The 20,753-nt window shown below is 34.0% G+C and overlaps 1 protein-coding gene across 4 annotated transcripts in view; it reads left to right on the top strand.

The window, feature by feature from the left end:
• The window catches only part of NEGR1 (neuronal growth regulator 1), an 886,597-nt gene that overhangs the window by 598,661 nt on the left and 267,183 nt on the right, over positions 1-20,753 (top strand). Inside the window, exon 5 of one of the 4 annotated variants that reach the window (XM_017000961.3) lies at positions 13,131-17,403. The exons of 2 other annotated variants lie outside the window; for them this stretch is intronic. In XM_017000961.3, the coding sequence (XP_016856450.1) occupies positions 13,131-13,132 (2 nt within the window). In that variant the 3' untranslated portion in view covers positions 13,133-17,403. Of the gene's footprint in view, positions 1-4,115; positions 4,249-13,130; positions 17,404-20,753 lie in introns of those variants that run through there. One more of the 4 variants, XM_011541201.4, reaches the window with a different exon arrangement.

Raw genomic sequence — 20,753 nt, 5'->3', positions numbered from 1 at the left:
ATTGTAAGAGTCATAATTTCTTACTCAAATTTAATAATAAAAGTTTAAATCCTCAAAACACAAAAATAAGATCCCAAACCCCTGAAAATTAAAAAAAAAAAAAAATCCTAAGTAACTTTTGGTGGGGGTAGTTTAAAAATAGGAAAAGCAAATTCACTGAATATCAAAACAACCCAGAGTGAAGGAAAGCTGTACTCAGAGGCAAATTTATAATTTTAATAGTCTTTTATTATGAAAAAATGAAAGAATGCTATCAAACTAAGTATTTATCTTGAGAAGTTAAAAAAAAATTAAACCTGAGGGAGATTTTTCCTTTTGAGGTATAATATGTTAGATACCCAGAAAACCACTTTGGACTTAAACAACTAAGATGCTGGATACAATTTCCAAAGTATGTTTCAAAAGGCATCATTTTAATTTACTGAGGAAAAATGTAAGTTCTGAGCTGTAAAATTAATTGAAATGAGAACCACTAATAGGTAAGAAACTATAAAAATGATTTTTCTCTCAGAGTATCTAGTATACTCTTGAGTCTTTGAATGCCCATTTTGATGACTATGAAAGATGCAAAGAGAAGACAAAGTCCAGGGATCTTTAAAACTAGAGGAGATCCCTTCACATTAAACAAAGACCCCCACGAAGGGCCATACCTGTAGTATAAGAATGAACAAGAGATACATCCCATGTCTCAGAAGTAGATGCAAGGAATATTTCCTGCCTCGTTTAGCTCTGATTTTATGGAAAAATTCTCCTCGGAAAACCTATAACCTCAACTTACCCAAAATAAGTCTGCAGCCTCTTAGTCCATTTTGAGTTTCTATAAAGGAATCCCTGAAATTGGGTAATTTATAAAGAAAGAAAAAAAGTTTATTTGGCTCATGATTCTGCAGGCTGTACAAGAAGCCTCGCCCTGATACCTGTCTCTGGTAAGGGCCTCAGATTGCTTTCACTCATGGCAGAAGTCAAAGGGGAGCAATCATCACATGGAAAGAGGAAGAAAGCAAGAGAGAGGAAGGAGGTGCCAGGCTCTTTTGAACAATCAGTTATCCTGATAACTAATGCAATAATAACTCACTCATTGCCAAGAGGAAGGTACCAAGCCCTTCATGAAAGCCCTGCCCCCACGACCAAAATACCTCCCACTGGGGCCTTGCCTCCAACATTGGGGATTAAATATCAATGTGAGATTTGGAGGGGACAAACATTGAAACTATATCATAGCCACATATCCACATGTCACTTTTATTTTAAAAATCTAGAGGCGTTATTTAAATTTACTGTTGTCCCAAATAGGTGAAATCTGCAAGAAACTCACAAAACAAAACAAAAACAAAAACCTCATAAATCTCTGAAGAAATACAACTTCAACCTAGGCCTCAAAAATAACTCTGTATATGAATATCTTTGAGGTAAAAATTACAAGACTGAAAAATCCAGTCTCATATAACAAAACACTTAGACATGAATAATAATCAGTGAAAACAACAGACAAGAAAAATAAACTTTACAAAAACTTTTTGTAGAAGAATTATCAGACATAAGTTTAAAGAAATGAGAGTGAACCTTGAATATGAGCAAACAGTAAGCAATTTTGAATGAAAATTCCACTCCATAGAACTTCCAAGTGTGAAGATTAGAATAATTAAAATTAAAAAGCTTACAACTGAAAAAAAAAAGAAAATATGTGTTAGATATAACTAAAGAGGGGATTAACAAATTGGAAGATGGATATTACAAAATTATATGGAATGTGGCTGGATGTGGTGGCTCATGCCTGTAATCCCAGCACTTTGAGAGGCTGAGATGGGTGGATCGCTTGAGGCCAGGAGTCTGAGACCAGCCTGGCCAACATGGCAAAACCCCATCTCTACTAAAAATACAAAAGTTAGCCAGTCGTGGTGGCTCATGCCTGTAATCCCAGCTTCTTGAGAGGCTGTGGCATGAGAATCGCTTGAACCCTGGAGGTGAAAGTTGCAGTGAGCTGAGATCACACCACTGCACACCAACTTGGGTGACAGAGCGAGACTCTGCCTAAAAAAAATTAAATGGAATGCTAGCCAGAGAAACCAAGAGACAGAATTTAAGGAAGAAAGTGAAGAAATTTAAAGAATAGAGTGTAAATGTCTAAAATGTATAAAGTATAATTCCATAAGGACATATTAGGACATATTAGAAAGTACAGGGACGTGGGAAATAGGCAATATTCAAAGAAAGAAATGACTCAGTTTTCCAGGTTTATTTTAAAATTCTCATTCTGAAACAGGAATTCCTATGAATGCAACCAGGATTAAAAATAAAAAGATACGCACAAATATACATCATACTGAATTTGAAGCAAACCAAAGAAAAAGCAATGTCAAAACACCTTAAAATAAAAAAAGATCACCTGTAAAACAACAGCAAACACACTGACTGTTGATTTCTCAGCAGCAACAATGAATGCCAGAAGACAGAATCATAGTAATACTCTTAGTGTCTTAGGATAGAACAACTGTCATTTTATGTTTATGTAGAAAAATATAAAAAGATCTTTTGACAAAAAACAGATGAGAGTTTGTCACAAAATGACTTTCACCATTTGACATAAATGTTTGCATTGAACACCAAAATCTTATTTTCTTATTGTTACAGAAAGAATAGAAACTTGTATTTTTTTACCCCCTTAAAGTTGATTATGTTATTGGATAAATAAATGTTAATGACACACATCACTTTTAAATGAAAACACTTAAATGCTGATATCTAAAAATCCACCTTTCTTGTTCACAGACTTGATAATCATAGATGTGTATGTTAATATGCAAGTGCTTTTAAATTAGTCTGAAGTGCTGTGCCAACACATGGAAAACTTGTGCACAGGAGAGTCACCTGGACCCACAGCCTTATTTACAGGAATGTAAACTTTTGTTATATTGAAACCTAGAAATTGTGGGAATGTTTCTTACTGCAGCATTCACTGCCCTATACTGACATATATTATGACACTCCTAAAACATAAACTTCTGGCAAAAGGAAGCCATATGGAAATCTGTTATAAGGAAAAGATATTAGGCAAATACAATATATTGGCAAATAAATGAGCAAACTTTAATAAATATTAACTATATATTTTAAAATGTCTAATCTGTGGGATGAAGCAGGCTAGAGCTGAAGTGTTAAGACAACAACACTGAAGACGGAAGGAGAGCAATGGTGTTAAAATATAGTAAAACAGCCTTATATCATTAGGAAAAATGGTAAACCCATTGACTAGCTTAAGTCAAAAATTAAAACAGAAATGAACATACAGTGGAAAAGGAGAAATCTAAAAGCTACTTTTAATATTAAAAATAGAAAAATGAGATTGGACAAACTTCTGAGGATGTTAGTCTAATGTTTATCTGTGGCATCTTGTGAAAGTAGAAAATTAGAAATGAAATAGAGACAGAATTCTACGTGCTGCAGAGATTAAAGCAGATATGAAGAGGTTGTCCTTAATAACAATCAATAAATTGGGAAATTGAAATGGAATGGAAAAATTGCTAAAAATAATTTCTTTAACAGTCTCAAAAAGAAGTAAAAAATCAGAACGATCCTATGTAACTAAAGATATGGAGTCATTGATTAAAATATCTTTCCAAAAATATGATTTAAAGCTCAGATGTTCTTATATGACAGTTCTGTCTAATGTTAATGGATTGTTAAAATTTACACAAACTCTTCAAGAAAAATTTTTAAAAAGAAATAAAAAGAAAACTTTCAAATAATTTTATGAGGCTCTAATAATTTGATAACTAAAATTATTTGAGATTAGAAGGAAATAATATTATAGACCAAATTCATTAAAAAATTGATTCAAAGATTCTAAACAAGATATTAGCATACTGATTCCAGCAATGTATAAAAATATCATGTTGATTTTAACTTAGGAGTACAATGCTGAGTTACATTACAGATTAAAGGAGAAAAACCATAGGTCATTTCATAAATTCAAGAAAAAAATTAATAAAACAACATATTATCATAAAAACTCTTAGTAAACTATGAAGAGAAGAGGACTTAACCTGATGAGTGGCATATAAAAATATCTACATTAAACACCTTAATATTGAAAAATTATTTGCTTTCTCTTTCAGATCAGGGAAAAGACTTGAACATCAGCATCTCATACTGAACCTTTCAATAGAGGCTCTTACCATTGTAGTAAAAAGGAGAATAAATAAAAAGCATAAGAACTGAAAAAGGAAAATAAAAAGCTGCCAAATTGCCTCTATGTGTGGCTGATTTATGTTCTGCATTGTGGATGATATTGTGTTCTGTACTGTAAAACCAAAAAAAATTATTTCAATTAATAAGAGTTTAGCAGTGATGCTGAATAAACCAGTAACAATCAGAAATTATAATTTTTACATTTAATTTACAATGGCAAATATATGTAAAATTATATCAGAGAAAATGTGCAAATCTTTTATAAAAAAGATTATTAAAATGAATTTAAGAGATGTTAAATGAAAAGTATACTATATTTTTGATATGAAAAGTCATTATAAATGTAGTAAAAATGTTGATTGTCCTCAAATTGATCTGTGAATTAAATACAATTTCATTCAAAATTTGAACAGGTATTTTGTTGAACTTTAAAAACTGATTCTAAAATTAACATGAAAAAGCAAGAATTCGAGAAGACTCCATCCATTCCTAAAGAAGCATGGATAGACAGGATAACATCATTGTAATTATACAATGTGATGTTAGTAGAAGGAAAGATAAATAGAGCAATAGAGAGACAAGAAACAAAATTATGGGCAAAATTAAAGCTGCAACTCCAAGCCAGATCTGTTTCATTTTCAATTCCTCCACGTCACTTCCAGAGCAATCTTTACAAAACACAAACTTGATACCGTCACTGTCCTGCTTAAACATCTTCAGTGGTTTTCCATTCTTCAGGATAGAGTGTTAGTCCTTTGACTGGCACATTTAGCCTCTTCTTGATGCCGCCTCTGTTTGCTCGGCTGCCTTTGAAACTCCCCTTTCCTTGCTTTTCTCAATATGGTATCCCATCCTCACAAAGGTACTTTCAGTTCCCCGAATTTGCCATTTTAAAAACTCTGAATACATCATGTTGAAGACTTTTTTCTGCTTTCCAGTAATGGGCTAATTCCAACTCTGCTCTCAATACTGTGCCTAGTAACCAACAAGTAACTGTTGAACAAAATGTTGAACAAATAAGACAAAAGTGGCACATTCCTGATAGCCTGTTTATAGTGGAAGGAAATGTCCACTCATAGGTGTTATATGCATGTACAACTGAATACTTTGGTGTAGCCATTTAAACTAGACTTGCTCTGGGTGGACCTGCCAAGCAGTAAGTAAGGGAATATTATTAAATGTGTTGATGGCCAATCACTCGGGGAGTGTCCACATGTGAGCATTTAAGATAAATTCTGAACAAAAAGTTCATTACTTACTGTATTATACTTGTTTTGTTATAGAATAAATCACATTTTTACCATGACATATAATTAACTGACAAAACAGATGCTAAGCTTCATTGTAAAGTAGTAAAGAGAAAAGCTATTAATATATTCAGTTTACATATGTTCATACTTGCTCAATGTTCCAAATACATATATGAAAATTATCTGGTTCAAAATTGCCTTTACCCCCTTTTGATTACCTTGAACTAGACACAAACAATGAGCTTCCTATCTTTCCTTGTAGTATAAGTACAATTATGCATATTTTGTAATTTGTTTACATACATTGTTTTGGAGGTGTGTGCATACTTCTTCTTTTTTTTACCATGCCCTACAGATCTGTCATGATCTGTCATCATGTATCTGCATGTGCTCTGTAAAAATAAAAAATAAAGTAATGGAATCTGAGGCTCAGTCCATCTCAGGACACAAATTTTGAGGCAAATGTTCAAACTGACTTAAAATAGATAAGTTATAATCCAACTTCCTGTTAACAGTAAATCTTATTAGCATATTCCATTGCATTTTATAAGGCAAACGTTGATTTATGCTTAATAATCTTGATTCTTTCTTCACAACTCGAGTCTCAGATTAACAAGATTTTAATGTCATACGAAGCTAGACTGCAAGTTATACATGCATTCCTCCAGCCTCACTAACTTTCTCACTTGTAAATTATGTTTAAGGACATTACTAAACCCCAGAATCAGCGTGGTCATGCTGAGACAGTGAAGAATGAAACACATGCTCCGTGAAACAGGCTTTTATTTTAATTTATGTTAAATTGTCAAAGCCTAAATTAATGAATAGCAAATGTGAACCTCCAAATGGGCTCATGTGGAAATATTCCTATTTGTGGTTATCTTTTTAAATTATATTAAGGGTTTGCTCTTTTGTGGCTGTAAAATAAATATGATAACTTTACACAAGAACCCAATGTTCACTCAGTGAGTGTAGCAGAAATCAAATAAAAGCAGCCATGCAACTCAAATTAAAGTTCAATATCATTAATTTAATTATAGTACATAATCATTTGACAGTGCTATGAATTGGATTTAAAGGATGATATTGTAATTGATTGTTAATCATTAAGAAGCATGCAGTAAAGATAATGCTGTCTGGGTGGTAGTAAATTACGATTTTATCCTATCCGGAGACCAGATTGTGGGAACAAATGGCTCCTGTCACCATCAATGAATCATGGAGGATGGAAATGGAAACAGAGGGCTGCCCTGTGAACATGTGTGGCAGAATAATGACCATCATTATAGAAGGCCAACAATGCACCAGCTTGGAGCTAAACAGCCTACATATATTATCTTATTTAATCTTTACAATAAACCAAGAGAGTAGATATCATTATCTCCATTTCACAGATGAAATAAATGAAGTTCAAGTAACTCACACATAGTTGGTCATACACTTCATAATGGGAAGGGTGATATGTCTAATTGGAAAGCCCAAGCTTTAAACTGCAACTTACACTCCTTCCAGTGAAAATCTACCAAATGAGCTACCCTCAGTCTTAATATGCTGGGTGATTGCCAGTCATGACATTTATCATTTGCATTCTAATAGCTGTTTGCTTAAAATGTCCTCCTTCACTCAGAATTTTTTTGAAATATCTCTTCTCTCTTTCTTGCATCCATGATCTATAAAGGGGGCTTAGAGAGTAAATTATTTGACATTTTTATCTGTTTTATCAGACAGCTATATCTGACAAGAAAAGAGTAGTAAGCAAAGTCCTGTGACACACCCTGTGGGTTACATTGAGAAGAGATAATGGTTAGCAGTATGGTGGAGATATCTGCTTAGAAAATTTTTACCAAGCAAGACACCCAACAACGGTTGAAGAAATTTCTGACACCCAACAATGGTTGAAGGAATCCTACTGCATGGGAGATCACTTATAGTTCATTGTTATTGTTGCTGTTTCCTTGTCTTACAGCAATCATTTCATTGTACTGCTACCATATTTGTATGGATTTCTATTGTTTGTAGCGCACTGGTGCTTGAGGTTTAGCAAAGATATGAAATGAGGCCACAAGATCATTTTTTTACCAGACGATAATAGTTTTTAGTTGAGAGTTAAAATTTAGAAGACATTGACTCCCCATATTTTCATAATTAAACCACAAAACCTCTGAGGCATAATAGAAGAACATTTTTCTTAATAATAACTTCCAAAATAATGATGGTCCCTAATTCACAGTATGTTCACACACACACAAAAAGTGTCCTTAGTGGCTTGGAACCCTCTTCCCAAATAAGATTAATTAAAATTTAGACCTTACAAAATACTTACATACAAAATAAGATTATTTTAACTCTCATCGTCATCCTACATTGTAAATATTATTTTATATTGCAAATGTAATAACTGAATTCTATAAAATTTGGTAGGTAACATGGTGGAAGTCAAACACCTGTTTAGTATCTGTATAGAAACTAAAATCGGTCCAGGCAGGTGGCTTTCACCTATAATACCAGCACTTTGAGAGGCCAAGGAAGGAGGATACTTTAGACCAGGAGGTCAGAGGCAGCAGTGAGCTATGATCACAACACTGCATTCCAGCCTGGGTGACAGAGCAAGACCCTGTCTCTTAAGGAAAAAAAAAACAAAAAACAAAAAACAAACAACAACAACAAAAACCAAAAAACTAGAGAGACTGAAATTATGTCCCTTTGAACAAGAACTTGGTTTCTTTTTCTGTATACCCTATTCATGTTTGGTTTCCTCTTAGTAGTACACGTCAGTTTCTAACTATCTCTTTGAAAACTACAATCCAAGTTCAAACTCATAATCCCAGATGCCAAGAACAGATTTTTCCTCATGCATGCTCTCTTTATCTCTCTGTCTCTCTCTCTCTCTGTCTGTCTTTCTCTCTCTCTCTCACTCTCTATATAAAGAGAGAGAGAGAGTGAGAGAGGGAGATACATATAGATATATAGATATACACATATATCTATATCTATATTTGTATATATCTATAGCTATATATCTACATCTATATATACCTTTCTCTCTCTTCTTGCTGATCTAGTGGTGAATGGGAAATTATTCTTGTACTGCTCCCATAGAGTGACTCAGAATGCCATGGATGTTTTTATGCAAGGACTCCTGGGTATTCATGCAAAGTGAGTAGTAGGTCTAGTGTCAGACCAGACCTGAGTTCAAAGGCACTTAACTCTATACCTGAAGGTTTACTTAACTGAATGCTATTTCCCTAATTATTAACCGGGCATGCTAACACCTGCTTTAAATATTGCTTCTAAGAATTCATATGTGTGTGTGTATATATATATATATGAATAAACATGCATTTTATATATTGCATATATAGATCACATATATAGATCACATACGTATGTATCACATATATATTTATGCAATATATACAACATCTGGTATATATTCAGTTTTTCTTTATTCAGTGTTGGAATGTTACAAGTGTTAGGTAAGGTTGCTAAGAATACAAAACAGGCAGGTTTCAAGGTGCCTACATTCTGTTGGATGAAAACATACATTAAACAAATATATCCTATGCCAGATAGTGATTCATGCTATGAAAGAAAAAAAGTAAAAGTTAGATAAAAAGTGATACAGAAACTCTATTTTACATAACATGTTCAGAGAAGCCCTTTCTGATAAGGTTACATCTGAGTGACATCAAAGAATGTGATAGAAAGAACATTGTTCATTGAAAGCAATCTCGTCTACACATTTGTCCTCTTAACTCATTGAAAAAGCTAACCGGAACATCACACATTTTAGAATACAGTGCTAAGTACTGTATACATTTGTGTGTGTGTGTGTGTGTGTGTGTGTGTGTGTGCCCTCCCAGCAAAAGCCTGCAGAGTATTTCGATTGGGCCAAAGGATTATGAAAATATTCACTACCTAGAATTGTTATATAGCTAATGTAATACAAAGTCTAAACAGCATAGGCAACAAAATATATGCCATCTTTTATGAGAAAGGAATAGTTCAGTAAGCTGTAATGTCTAGTGAATGCAATAATACGTGCATGGGCAGTATCAGTGTGTCCTGGATTGAGATTTTCTTGCATATTTGATTCATTGATTTAATGCTCATTTTGCAGTTATCAAGGTATTTCTGCAGGTGACAAATTACATGACTCATTCTTTGACTTATTTAAAATGGTGATAGATGTTGATTTTATATAGATGTTTGCATTTGAGTGGAAAGAAGTGAAACTTCCAGATAGTTTATAAACATATTTTATTAACAACCTGGGAAGAATATATCTAGGTCACTCATTTGTCTGATAATAGAAGAAATAAATGGTGCTACCCAGCATATGACTTTTGAGAAATAAATACAATTTTCAAAGCTGTGTTTTTAGTGTTAAGAAAGAAAATGTTGAGAGATTATTTTTCACGTTAAATACCAACAGTTGTATTCTTATATTAATATAAAACTAATACTAATATTTAATTGTAAAAATTCAAAAAAGTACAAAAATGTTTTCTAACAGTAACCTCTAAATTTCTCTGTAATTCGTCCACATGTCTATGTTCTCCATAAAGACTGAGCTCCATAGAACTGTGTTTAGAGCATAGTAGAAGCTTGACAAATATTTATTCGTTAGTAAAAAAAAATATCATTAATGGAAATAAATGCATATGGGCTTCTGCTCTGTGTAATTACTATAAGCATTGATTTGATTGCTTCACATATTGTCACAAGTTAAATGTAACATGCCCATTAGTGTCCTAAAACAGATTATTTGGGACTAAAATTGTTTGAGGATTTCTGAATTTTTGGTATACTTTACTTTCAATATTTAAGGGAAAAAATATTCTCCCTTAAGAGAAATAATGTTTCCAATTTTGAGGGAACTGATATTCATGAACAAACCATCCTAGATCCTATAATGCTTTATTAGAGTAATTTGTTTTCCTAGCTGTCTCTTATATTAAATCATAAGCTCCATAAAAGCAGGAACCAAGTTGTATTAAAATTTACTGTGTATCTTCAGTGTCAGACATGAAAAAGGAATTAAACATATTTCTGTTGAATGTTGAATTGATAAAGTGTGAACAAAGGATAATATATATGGACTCTCTTGTCTACACTTCAATGCCTGGTTAACTTGTTTACAAAGATACCCATTAGTATGATAATAGGCTGATGTCCTGGACATAGTATATGGATACAGTTTTTTGGGTTGTTTTTTTTTGGAGATGCACTGGAGTGCAGTGGCATGATCTTGGTTCACTGCAAGCTCTGCCTCCTGGATTCACGCCATTCTCCTGCCTCAGCCTCCCAAGTAGCTGGGACTACAGGCGCCCGCCAAAATGCCAGGCTAATTTTGTTTTTATATTTTCAGTAGAGATGGGGTTTCACTGTATTAGTCAGGATCGTCTCGATCTCCTGACCTCATGATCCGCCCGCCTCAGCCTCCCAAAGTGCTGGGATTACAGGCATGAGCCACCGCACCCGGCCATGGATACAGTTTCTAAGTGGCTTTTGTTGGGTTCAAATCCCACAATGTCCTCAACATCCCGCCAAGCCGTTAGGTGTTGTGTGCTGGATTCCATTAATTCCCAATTTAACATACTCTCATCCTAGCTCATTCATGATCTGTTAGTTTTATTATTTTATAATTTATTGACACCAACTATATTTTTCTGATGTCAGTTTAGCTTTGTCTCAAGGAATAGCCCTGGGTTTTTTATTTTTTTTAAGTCTGTCAAAGTGCTTACCACAAGGTGCTATTCTGAAACTTAAGTTTGGCAAACATTGAGCACTGTTTCCCTTTATTGGGTAATCACAGATCATATCCCCATTTTAAGGACTTTGAGATATTTTGGAGACTAGCACACTGATTAATTGACCCTGCTGACACCACCATTTCCCTTTCATTTATTGATTGATTTAACAAATATTTATTAAGGATTTATAATATATCACTCTGCCAGGATCTGGATATACAATGGTGAACAAGATTGACTTGGTCTCTGCCTTAATAGAATAGATAATCTTTGGAATACAATAGATAATCTTTGGAATGTATGTTTTAAATGCTACTCATGAGTGTCTTAACTTTCTAAATGTTACAAAGATGTCACATGTTTTAATTTTTAATGAATGCAATAATTTTATCTAATTTAATTTTGTCTTCACCCAAAGCATTCTTAATTTTTTTTACAAAGCGATAACATTGTGACTATTGTGTCTATGGTTTATATCCCCAAACTTTCTCAACAGCAAGGTATTAAATCCAGAAACCAATAATGAACTGGTAAGCCTTCAATCTTTGAATATATTTAGCTATGATAGCAGATATTTGGCATGCTCCGTATCACTAATGTTACTTTCAATAGTAGAGTTTTTACTATGGTTGAAATAGAGAGCAGAAGTAGGGCTGGGTGTGAAGGCTCACACCTGTAATCCTACCACTTTGCGAGGCTGAGGCAGGAGGATCATTTGAGGACAGGAGTTTGAGACCAGCCTAGGCAATAGAATGAGAGCTGTCTCTTAAAACAAAAAAAAAAAAAAAAAAGAGAGAGAGAGAACAGAAATAAAATATGCCTTCAAAATTGAAACAAAAATAATAAAACATCCAGTGAGAGTAGTTAAATAAGATGTTGTCTGGCAAGTATGATTAATTGGGTACTAACGGGGACCCATGATTGCCAAAGTACAGTTGCAGTCAAAGAAGGTTGAACAGAATAGAGACCAGTGAGAAGAACCCTGGCCATGGTATTTATCAGACAATCAGATACAGACACTGTAATGGCAATGTGATGAAAGATAAAGGATGGCTGACCAAGATGGAGTTGAGATTGTGATGAACTTGGCAAGATGGCTGGCTTATGAACAATAACCTGGAAATCATTACTTGAGTATAATACCCTAAAATAGTTTTTTCCCTTTACAATTTTATTCCTGTTATTTCCTCTTTGTTTACATATTTGTCTTTCAAACTGTATCATTTATGCTTTCTTTCTATCAATTTCCCCTTATTTCAGTGCATTATTAAAAGTGTAGCCCAGGTTTTGCCAGTTTCCTTCATTTTACCCTGTTTACCCCTCAAAGATGATGTTTACTAAGGGCAGTCTGAAGGTTGCTCTTTACTTTTTCTTCCTCTTTGGTCTTCTCCAGTGTGTCCAAGTGAGTTAGCCCTCTACTGCCAGGAGCAAGGTTAATCATACATTACAGGACCACAGTCTCTTATATTCTGGAACCACGACAAATCAAGTGGAATTGTTCTCACCTTTCCCTATCATATTGTCCCATCAACCTCAAGTAGACTAACAAACCTAATAGTGATGACAATATAAAGTTCTTTTACTGCAAAGTTAAAGTATAAAAATATAACAATAAATAGTTATAATTCGCATATTAAAATTTCACCTTCTTTGAGTTCAGTGTCCAACAGTGACAAAGTGCTTTGAGGTAGACTCATGCTCATAATGAAATTCACCAAAAAAATTATTTAAAGGCATCAAAAAGCCACTGAGGCAAATACTCTGTGTGTGTGTGTGTATGTGTGTGTGTGTGTTGTGAGTTAGCATTCTGCAGCCTTTTTTATTCTAGGCATCTGCTGATTTGAGGTTGAGGGCAGGAGCCTGAGAATACTGATTTGATCAGAGAGACATATCTATGGGCCAGAAAAAAACAGAATTGTTGTTGAAATTTTTCCAGAGCTGAGGAGACAAAATGGATGTGTAAAGATTCACGATCCAAGAAAGAAAATACTGGTGAAGAATTAAGCCTGGCACACAACCATGTTCATGACTCGAGGATCACTTGAGCCAGGAAGGCAGAGGTTGCAGTGAGCTGAAATTGTGTGTGGACAACAGAGTGAGACCCCCATCTCAAAAAAAAAAGTAAAAAACTGTTACAACTTATTAAAATTGTTTGACTCATAATAGCTAAGACTTTTTCAAAATTGTTGGAAGACATGAACTCAAGGTTTCAAGAACAACAACAAAAAATGTATGAACCAGAAGGATAATACACAGATATCTATGCTAAGTACATCATAGGCAAACTTCTGAAAAACAAATACAGTGAGAAAATCTTAAAAACAACCACACACACACACAAACACACACACAATATCTTCAAAAGAACATTAACAAGGCAGCAAATTTTTCAACAAATTAATGAAATCTATAAGAACATGGAAAGATAACATTAAATTGCTTAAAAAAGCACAAACTAGAACTGTATATTCCCTATAAGATTATTCAAAAATAAAAACAAATAAGAATACTCTCTGATAAAGCAAAGCCAAGATAATTCATCACTGGTAGATGAGCCCTGGAAGAAAACCTAAAAATGTTCTTCAGGCAGAAGAAAAATAATCACAAATGGTAACGGAGAAAGGAAGGAAAGAATGAAGAATAATGGAAAGGGTAAATATGTAGTATATATAAACAAATAATGACCATCCCAAACACTAGTAATAATGTTTTAGAATATTAAAATACTACCTAGGATTGGCCAGGTGCGGTGGCTCACGCCTATAATCCCAGCACTTTGGGAAGCCAAAGTGGGCAGATCATGAGGTCAGATCGAGACCATCCTGGCCAACCTGGTGAAATCCCTATCTCTACTAAAAATACAAAAATTAACTGAGCATGGCGGCACATGCCTGTAATCCCAGCTACTCAGGAGGCTGAGGCAGGAGAATTGCTTGAACCAGGGAGTCGAAAGTTGCAGTGAGCCGAGATCGCGCCACTGCACTCCAGCCTGGGAACAGAGCAAGACTCCATCTCAAAAAAAAAAGTTACGTAGCATTAAAATATATGGTGGCAATGACATAAAAGTAAGAATAATAAAACTAAAGTGTCCTAAGGCCCTAGCATTGTAGGTGAAATTGTAAAAGTAATAATTGAAATTTAACTTCAGTAATTCAAGGCTGCAAGCTTGACTATCCAGTAAAAACATCAAAAGACAGTAACATATTCTAAACTAAAAAAGTTATTGAGAAAGAATAATATAATAAAAATAGCTACTCTACAGAAAGTAAAAAAGAAGAGAAAATGGAACACAAAATAAGTAGATTTTAAAAAACAAGTAGAATTATGATAGCTATATACCCAAACATTTTATTATATACATTAAAAGTAAATAGAATATATATTCTAATTAAAAGACTGTCCAGACACACTTTAAATAGCAGGATCCTGCATTGAATTTAAAAGCATAGAAAGAGATAGATCATGAAACATGAACCAATAAATGTTGGTATAATTTTACTAATATCAAATTAGACTTTAAGCTAAGAAGCATTATGAGAAGAAAGGGACATTTTATAATATTAAAGCGGTCTACAGCTAGGAATATATAAAAATTCTAAATCTACATGTACTCAATTACACAACATTGCAATATATAAAGCATAAATTGATATAAGTAAAAGGAGATATAGGCAAATCCACAGTCATTTGGAAGACTTTCACAAACCTCTCTCAGCAGATAAATGATATAACAAGCAAACCAAAAAAAATCAGGAATTATATAAAACAACACAGTCAACATACGTTGACACATGTCAAGATGTTAGCTCACGCCAAGCAGACTGCCCTTGGGAACATTCCCTCCATTCCCTGCCTAGCTCTCCATCCTTATATTCTCACCAAAAATCACAGGTATGTCCTTCTGCAAGACTTTCTCCCCTGCCTTACGAAAATGCCAACCCTTCTACACAAGGCATTCTCATTTTTTGTTCTTTTCCTGGGTTTCCAGGAAATATCAGTTGTCATCTAGATATCTGATGTTTTCAGGCTCTAGGTAAAGGATGCACTCTAGGCCCCAAGATAAAGTGAATATAAGTCCTTTCAGTCACGTTTTATCTTCCCACTACTGAGACCTGTGGAACTGCTATTTCCAGTACCAATGAAGCTTTAACGACGTTTCTCTCTCAAAGGCAAATATTCTATCAATTAAAAAAAGAATAGTTATCCAATGAGCCCTAACCCTAACTTTTAATTCTCCTGTTTGCTCATCGTTGTACTAAAAAGCATTTGGCTCTATCCTCCTCTATCAGCCTGGCAGTAACAAAAAGATGACATTCTAGCTCTCAATTGCTGCTTCCACTGCTACCCAGGGAACGGCACAGGCTTTAATTACCTGGCTCTTCCTCTAATAAAAGGAGTTTCAGTTTTCTCTGGCCAAATATGGATGCATTCTTCTCCCACGAGAAAGAAGAGCAAGGGTAATGGACAATTTACCAGCTGAATGAACCTCTGTGATAAACTGAGGGTTGTTCAAACATGACCAGATGACACACAAAAAAGATATTCCTATCAGGAAAATATTTAGTTAAACCCAATGAAAATAATGGTTTCAACTGTTAGTTCCTAGCATGTATTTAAAGACAAAAAATAGATAACAGAAAATATTGAGTATCTTGGCAAAAAAGGGAAAAAACATAAACTGATTTAGTTATAATACATTCATATGTATTATGACTACATTATATGCTACTTTCATATGTATTAACAATACCTATAATAGTTAAAATGTATACAGTGCATAAATCATGCAAAATATTTTTGTAAGCTCTGAGCAAAGATTAATTCTTTGCAACCTAATATGACCCTTATTTTACAAGTGAGAAACTGACACTAGGAGTTAAATAGCTTGCCCACACTCACAAAGCTAGTGAGGATAAGGAAAGATTTGAACCCGATAGTCAAGCTTTGGAGATTGTGCCTTTAGAAATTTTGCTATACTAAATTCAATGGTAAATTAAAAATTTTAGTAAGATTTGATCAAACAACACACTGTTGAGACACATTATTCTGGCTTCCTCTTTGCCTTGAACAAAATTATGAAGTAAAAGACTATTTTCTTTAAGACCTTCCCAGAAACTCTGTACTACATTTTCCCCCATTTACACAGCTGTCTCTTACCAGACACCAGGGTGTAGAATTGGAGCTAGAACCCAGATCTCCCAATCCCACCCAGGGCTCTGTCCCTCATGCCACCAGATTGCAACACTGATTTTTCCATCTGGTGTCATATTTCTAGAGCTATCATTCACAGTCTCGCTTCTGTGTATTTCACAGACCTTGGTTTTATTGCATAATTGCACAGAAGAGCTTAATTCATTACCATTCTGAGAAACCAGATTTGACTGTCATTGTGGCAGGTTGTATTGAATTACTAAAAACATTCAGAATTTACTTTTCAACTGATTCACAAGAGTCACATCGAAGACTAAACTCTTGTGTTTCTAACCTTACACCTACCAAGGAATAAATTATGTGATTTTTGCATTTGCTAAAATTCTGTTTACTCACCTGTTCTGTTAGGGCACGTGTAACATGGGTGACACTGCCTTCTCTGTACAGCCCTGCTCACATTTCTTTTGTGTTATGGACTTCATTATATGACCAGATATAATTTTTTTCCTGTAGAAATGTATACTATAATAGTAGAAATGTTAATACCAGACAAAATATTTGTTAATATCTACAGATAGATGCTTGCAGAAAACTGGAAATTGGTTAAGTATGAGGTCATGAGACATTTTTCTGACTGTTTTTATAGTTGGAAAATAATAGAATGGCTTTAGTAGAAAAATAAATCTTGGGTTGAATGTGGTTTGCAATGAAACTTAAAAAAATCATTCAAAATTATACTTTAAAGTATGATGAAATCCAGGAGTTACTCAGCCCTGTCTGCAGAACTTTTTCTGGTATGTTAAACCTTTGGAGAAACAACAAGATCTATACTTTGCCATAAATTTACAGAACAAAAGGAGAGTGAACTTTTACTACTGAGTAGTTAACACTGCTAGATAGATTTGTAGTAAATCCCAATATAATTGCAGTTCAGATTTGAAATATTTAGCGATGGACATGGTACATATGTTTGTGAAAGGCTTCAGTGGTATTTCCAAAGGTAAACACTGCCTATTCTATACCTCAATTGAAATAAAGATCTGCAGTAACAGATCCAAGGTGGGTGTTTGTATGTTTCATTTTTAATGCTGGTTGAGTGCCTATGCTTTAGCTTCTAAAACAATTTACTATTCTATTTCCATGATGGGTACTTTTTACACATTTACAACCAAGGGCCTTCTTAGCCTGTGGCTTCAAGAAAGGAATTATTTTCGTTTGAGACCCGTGTTTTTAATGCAAATGACTATTGTTAGGAGTGGTCTTGAAAATCCTAAAAAAGCATTTTAACTATTTTCGTAATAGAAAAATTGTAAAAAAAATAGAACTATCACTTGCAAGTGAGTCATATATAATGTTCTTGAGTGATGGTAAGTTTTAGAAAATCAGATTATCTGAAGTATTTACGTTCATTTGTGCATTCACATGGAGGAACAGTGATAGTGTTTAATATTAGTGGAGGGTAACATGGAATGAGACAGTTGACTAAACCGTTAACTTCTTGAAGGTAGAGGCTGTCTCTAGTTTTTTATTGAATCCAAGACATCAAGCACAAGCTCTGTCAAATAAACACATTTACTCATTTAAGAAATGAATGAGTCCTGTATAAGAATTTTGACTTTATCTTGTAGGCACCAAAGAACCAACTGAGGTTCAAAACAAAATGCATACTCTTAGAGGAGGATAACTAGAGCCATAGGAGGTATGGAACACGTGTTCTATCTATAAGATATAATTTAATTAATTGTGAATGTTTATTCCAGAAAAACAAGGCTTTAGGAAGCTATAATCAGTCTCCAAATAAATGGCGCTCCACTGTATGAAAAGAGGAATAAACACTGGTGTAGATTCAAAGAAAAAATTAGAATGAATGGTTAAGAGTTTAGTGAAGAATGATGGAGCTCAATGTAAGGGAAACAAATCTCTCTAATTTAGAATTGTTCAACAATGGGACAGGCTGCTTATTGAGTGTGGGTGCTACGTCACTGCAAGTATTCAAGCAAAGCTGAAGATGAGTTTCTCAAGTGGGGAAACCATGTTGTAGTCCTTGCATCTATCCTCCTGTTTGTCACATGGCAGGATCCAACACATGTTTATAGAATGAATATGGCACAGGCTTAATAGAAATCTCTCAGGGATATTGTAACCCTGCCCATTTCCCCATGTTTAACATATACCTCTATTTTCTTTGCAGGAACTCCACAAGTTCTCTGTAATTTAAAGTCAATAGGAAGTACATTGAACTTCAGAATTTAACTGAGGTGAAGTGTATTTTTATCCCCAGACAGCAAAGATGAATGAAAATGCTGTGTAAAGAAAACTATAGTTTTAGAAAAATTAGCTTTATTATTGCAGAATATTATACTTTTACTTTTAAGTATCCTTCATTTTTCACATGAAAGCCAGCCTATTTAAAAGTGTTTAATATATTTTCATGAATGATTTAACTTTGCAAATAGCTTTGGTAAATATTTGATATGCTGTTATTAAATTTTCTTTTGCTGACCTAACCTTTTGACAGTTATTTTACTTTGGCCTGATATTGTTGGACTTAAGTCATTTCCACATTTGGATAGTCATTCCAAAGGAAGGTTTAATAGAAAATGTATGTTTATACCTTCTTATTAAAGGTTATCTACCCCAGAAACTTACATTTCTCTAGATAAAGTAAGTCCAAATGGCAGCCTACTATTCTGCTGCAATAGTAGGATCAACTTAAACAGATCAAGGGGAAAAGGGTGTCAGAAACACAAAGAGATATTTTGTAAAATATACTCTAACCTTACCAAAGAGATATATATTTTTTTTTCTCAAAGAAGCCAAATAGCACTGAGAGGGTTTTGACTGATAGTAAGGCAAAGGAAACTGATGAATTTTCATAAGGTTTCATTATAAATTCTGTTCAAACCAAATTTAATTGATTTAATATTATTTATTTTAGTACAAAATAGCAAATCTGACACACTCATCTCCCTCCCTTCTCTTCTAAATTCCCATGGAAATCACACAAAAAAGATATGTAAAAAACTTAAGAAAATCATAATAGTCTTGGTCAGGAGAGGGAGGCCATGGAAAACTGGAAATTGTAAAATATCTTACAAGAAAAAGTATTAGAAAAAATTAGATTGAAGTGGAAAATAATAGAAATTACAAGGATAGGAACTACCATATCCAAATTCAGAAACATCATGTTCTAACATCAGAATCTTCTGGCAAACATTGCAGTAATTAATGAAAGAACTATTTGTAGGTCAGCTGCCATGGTGGTGCTCCATTTGTTCATCCCACATGCTTTCACTCAGTGTAAAGGCATTGTATTCTAAGAAGAGAATTTTCTACATACAGTGAGCTTGTGGTACAGATGCAAGGATCTAAGAAAGGAGTAGGGTTTGAAACTGCCATATGTGAATAGAAGAAATGATAATACAAATTAAATCACACACAAAAAGGATGTCAGCTATACTTGAGAGAGAAGTTCACTAGATGTTTCCATCATTGAACTAAAACCAACTCTTATTTTGACATTTAAGGATCCCAGCACGTATGGAAATTTTACCTTCATGCATTCTAAAATGGAAGTGACCAGTCAGTATATTGCTTGTATAGAATCCATAATTAACTCTCAATAGAGACAGCTACCTTTTCAAGAGAGAAGTCTGAGAAACAGGTTTATCCACCTGCAGAGGAAAGCTATAACTGTTGCCCAAATTCACAAACCTAGTCCTTCAATAATATGCATGAACAACTATAAAACAATATTTTGGTCCTAGAATTTCATAAAACCAAACTATCAATCATGTATGAAGGCACACGGAGATATTTAAAAATAGGCAAAGACAGAATTGAGTTCAATTTTCTAAAGAGGTACTCCAGTAAAATTGTAAAAGACTATCAGAAAGAAGATGGCATGGGATAAATTAAAAAGCGACAACTGAATGAACTGACAAAAGCAAAAGAAATGCAAAAATAATTCAATGGGATTCCAGTAGACTTTGGCATTTTGGAATATCTCTTCAGAAGTAAGGGTTTTATGACATAGCAAAACACATTTTTTCTTTTGTAATTAAGAATATCTATTCATAAAATTGCAAAGATTGAGTTTGTTGAATTAAATTACTAGGTTCAGCATATAGACAAAGAAGCAAGTATAGTTTAAAAAATAAGCATTGTACAAATATTAAAAATATAAAATAATAACATGATAAGAATTAAGATGTAGAAGCTGCAATAATATGCTATTTCAAGTTGCACACGTAACCACTATAAAAAAACTAAAAAATGGCCGGTCATGGTGGCTCACGCCTGTAATCCCAGCACTTTGGGAGGCCGAGGCAGGCAGCTCACGAGGTCAGGAGATAGAGACCATCCTGGCTAACACGGTGAAAACCCATCTCTACTAAAAATACAAAAA

Source organism: Homo sapiens, chromosome 1 (genome assembly GCF_000001405.40).
Source record: "Homo sapiens chromosome 1, GRCh38.p14 Primary Assembly".
Taxonomy (NCBI): domain Eukaryota; kingdom Metazoa; phylum Chordata; class Mammalia; order Primates; family Hominidae; genus Homo; species Homo sapiens.
Note: the sequence above shows the minus strand (reverse complement) of the source record. Positions and strands in the feature narration are given on the sequence as shown.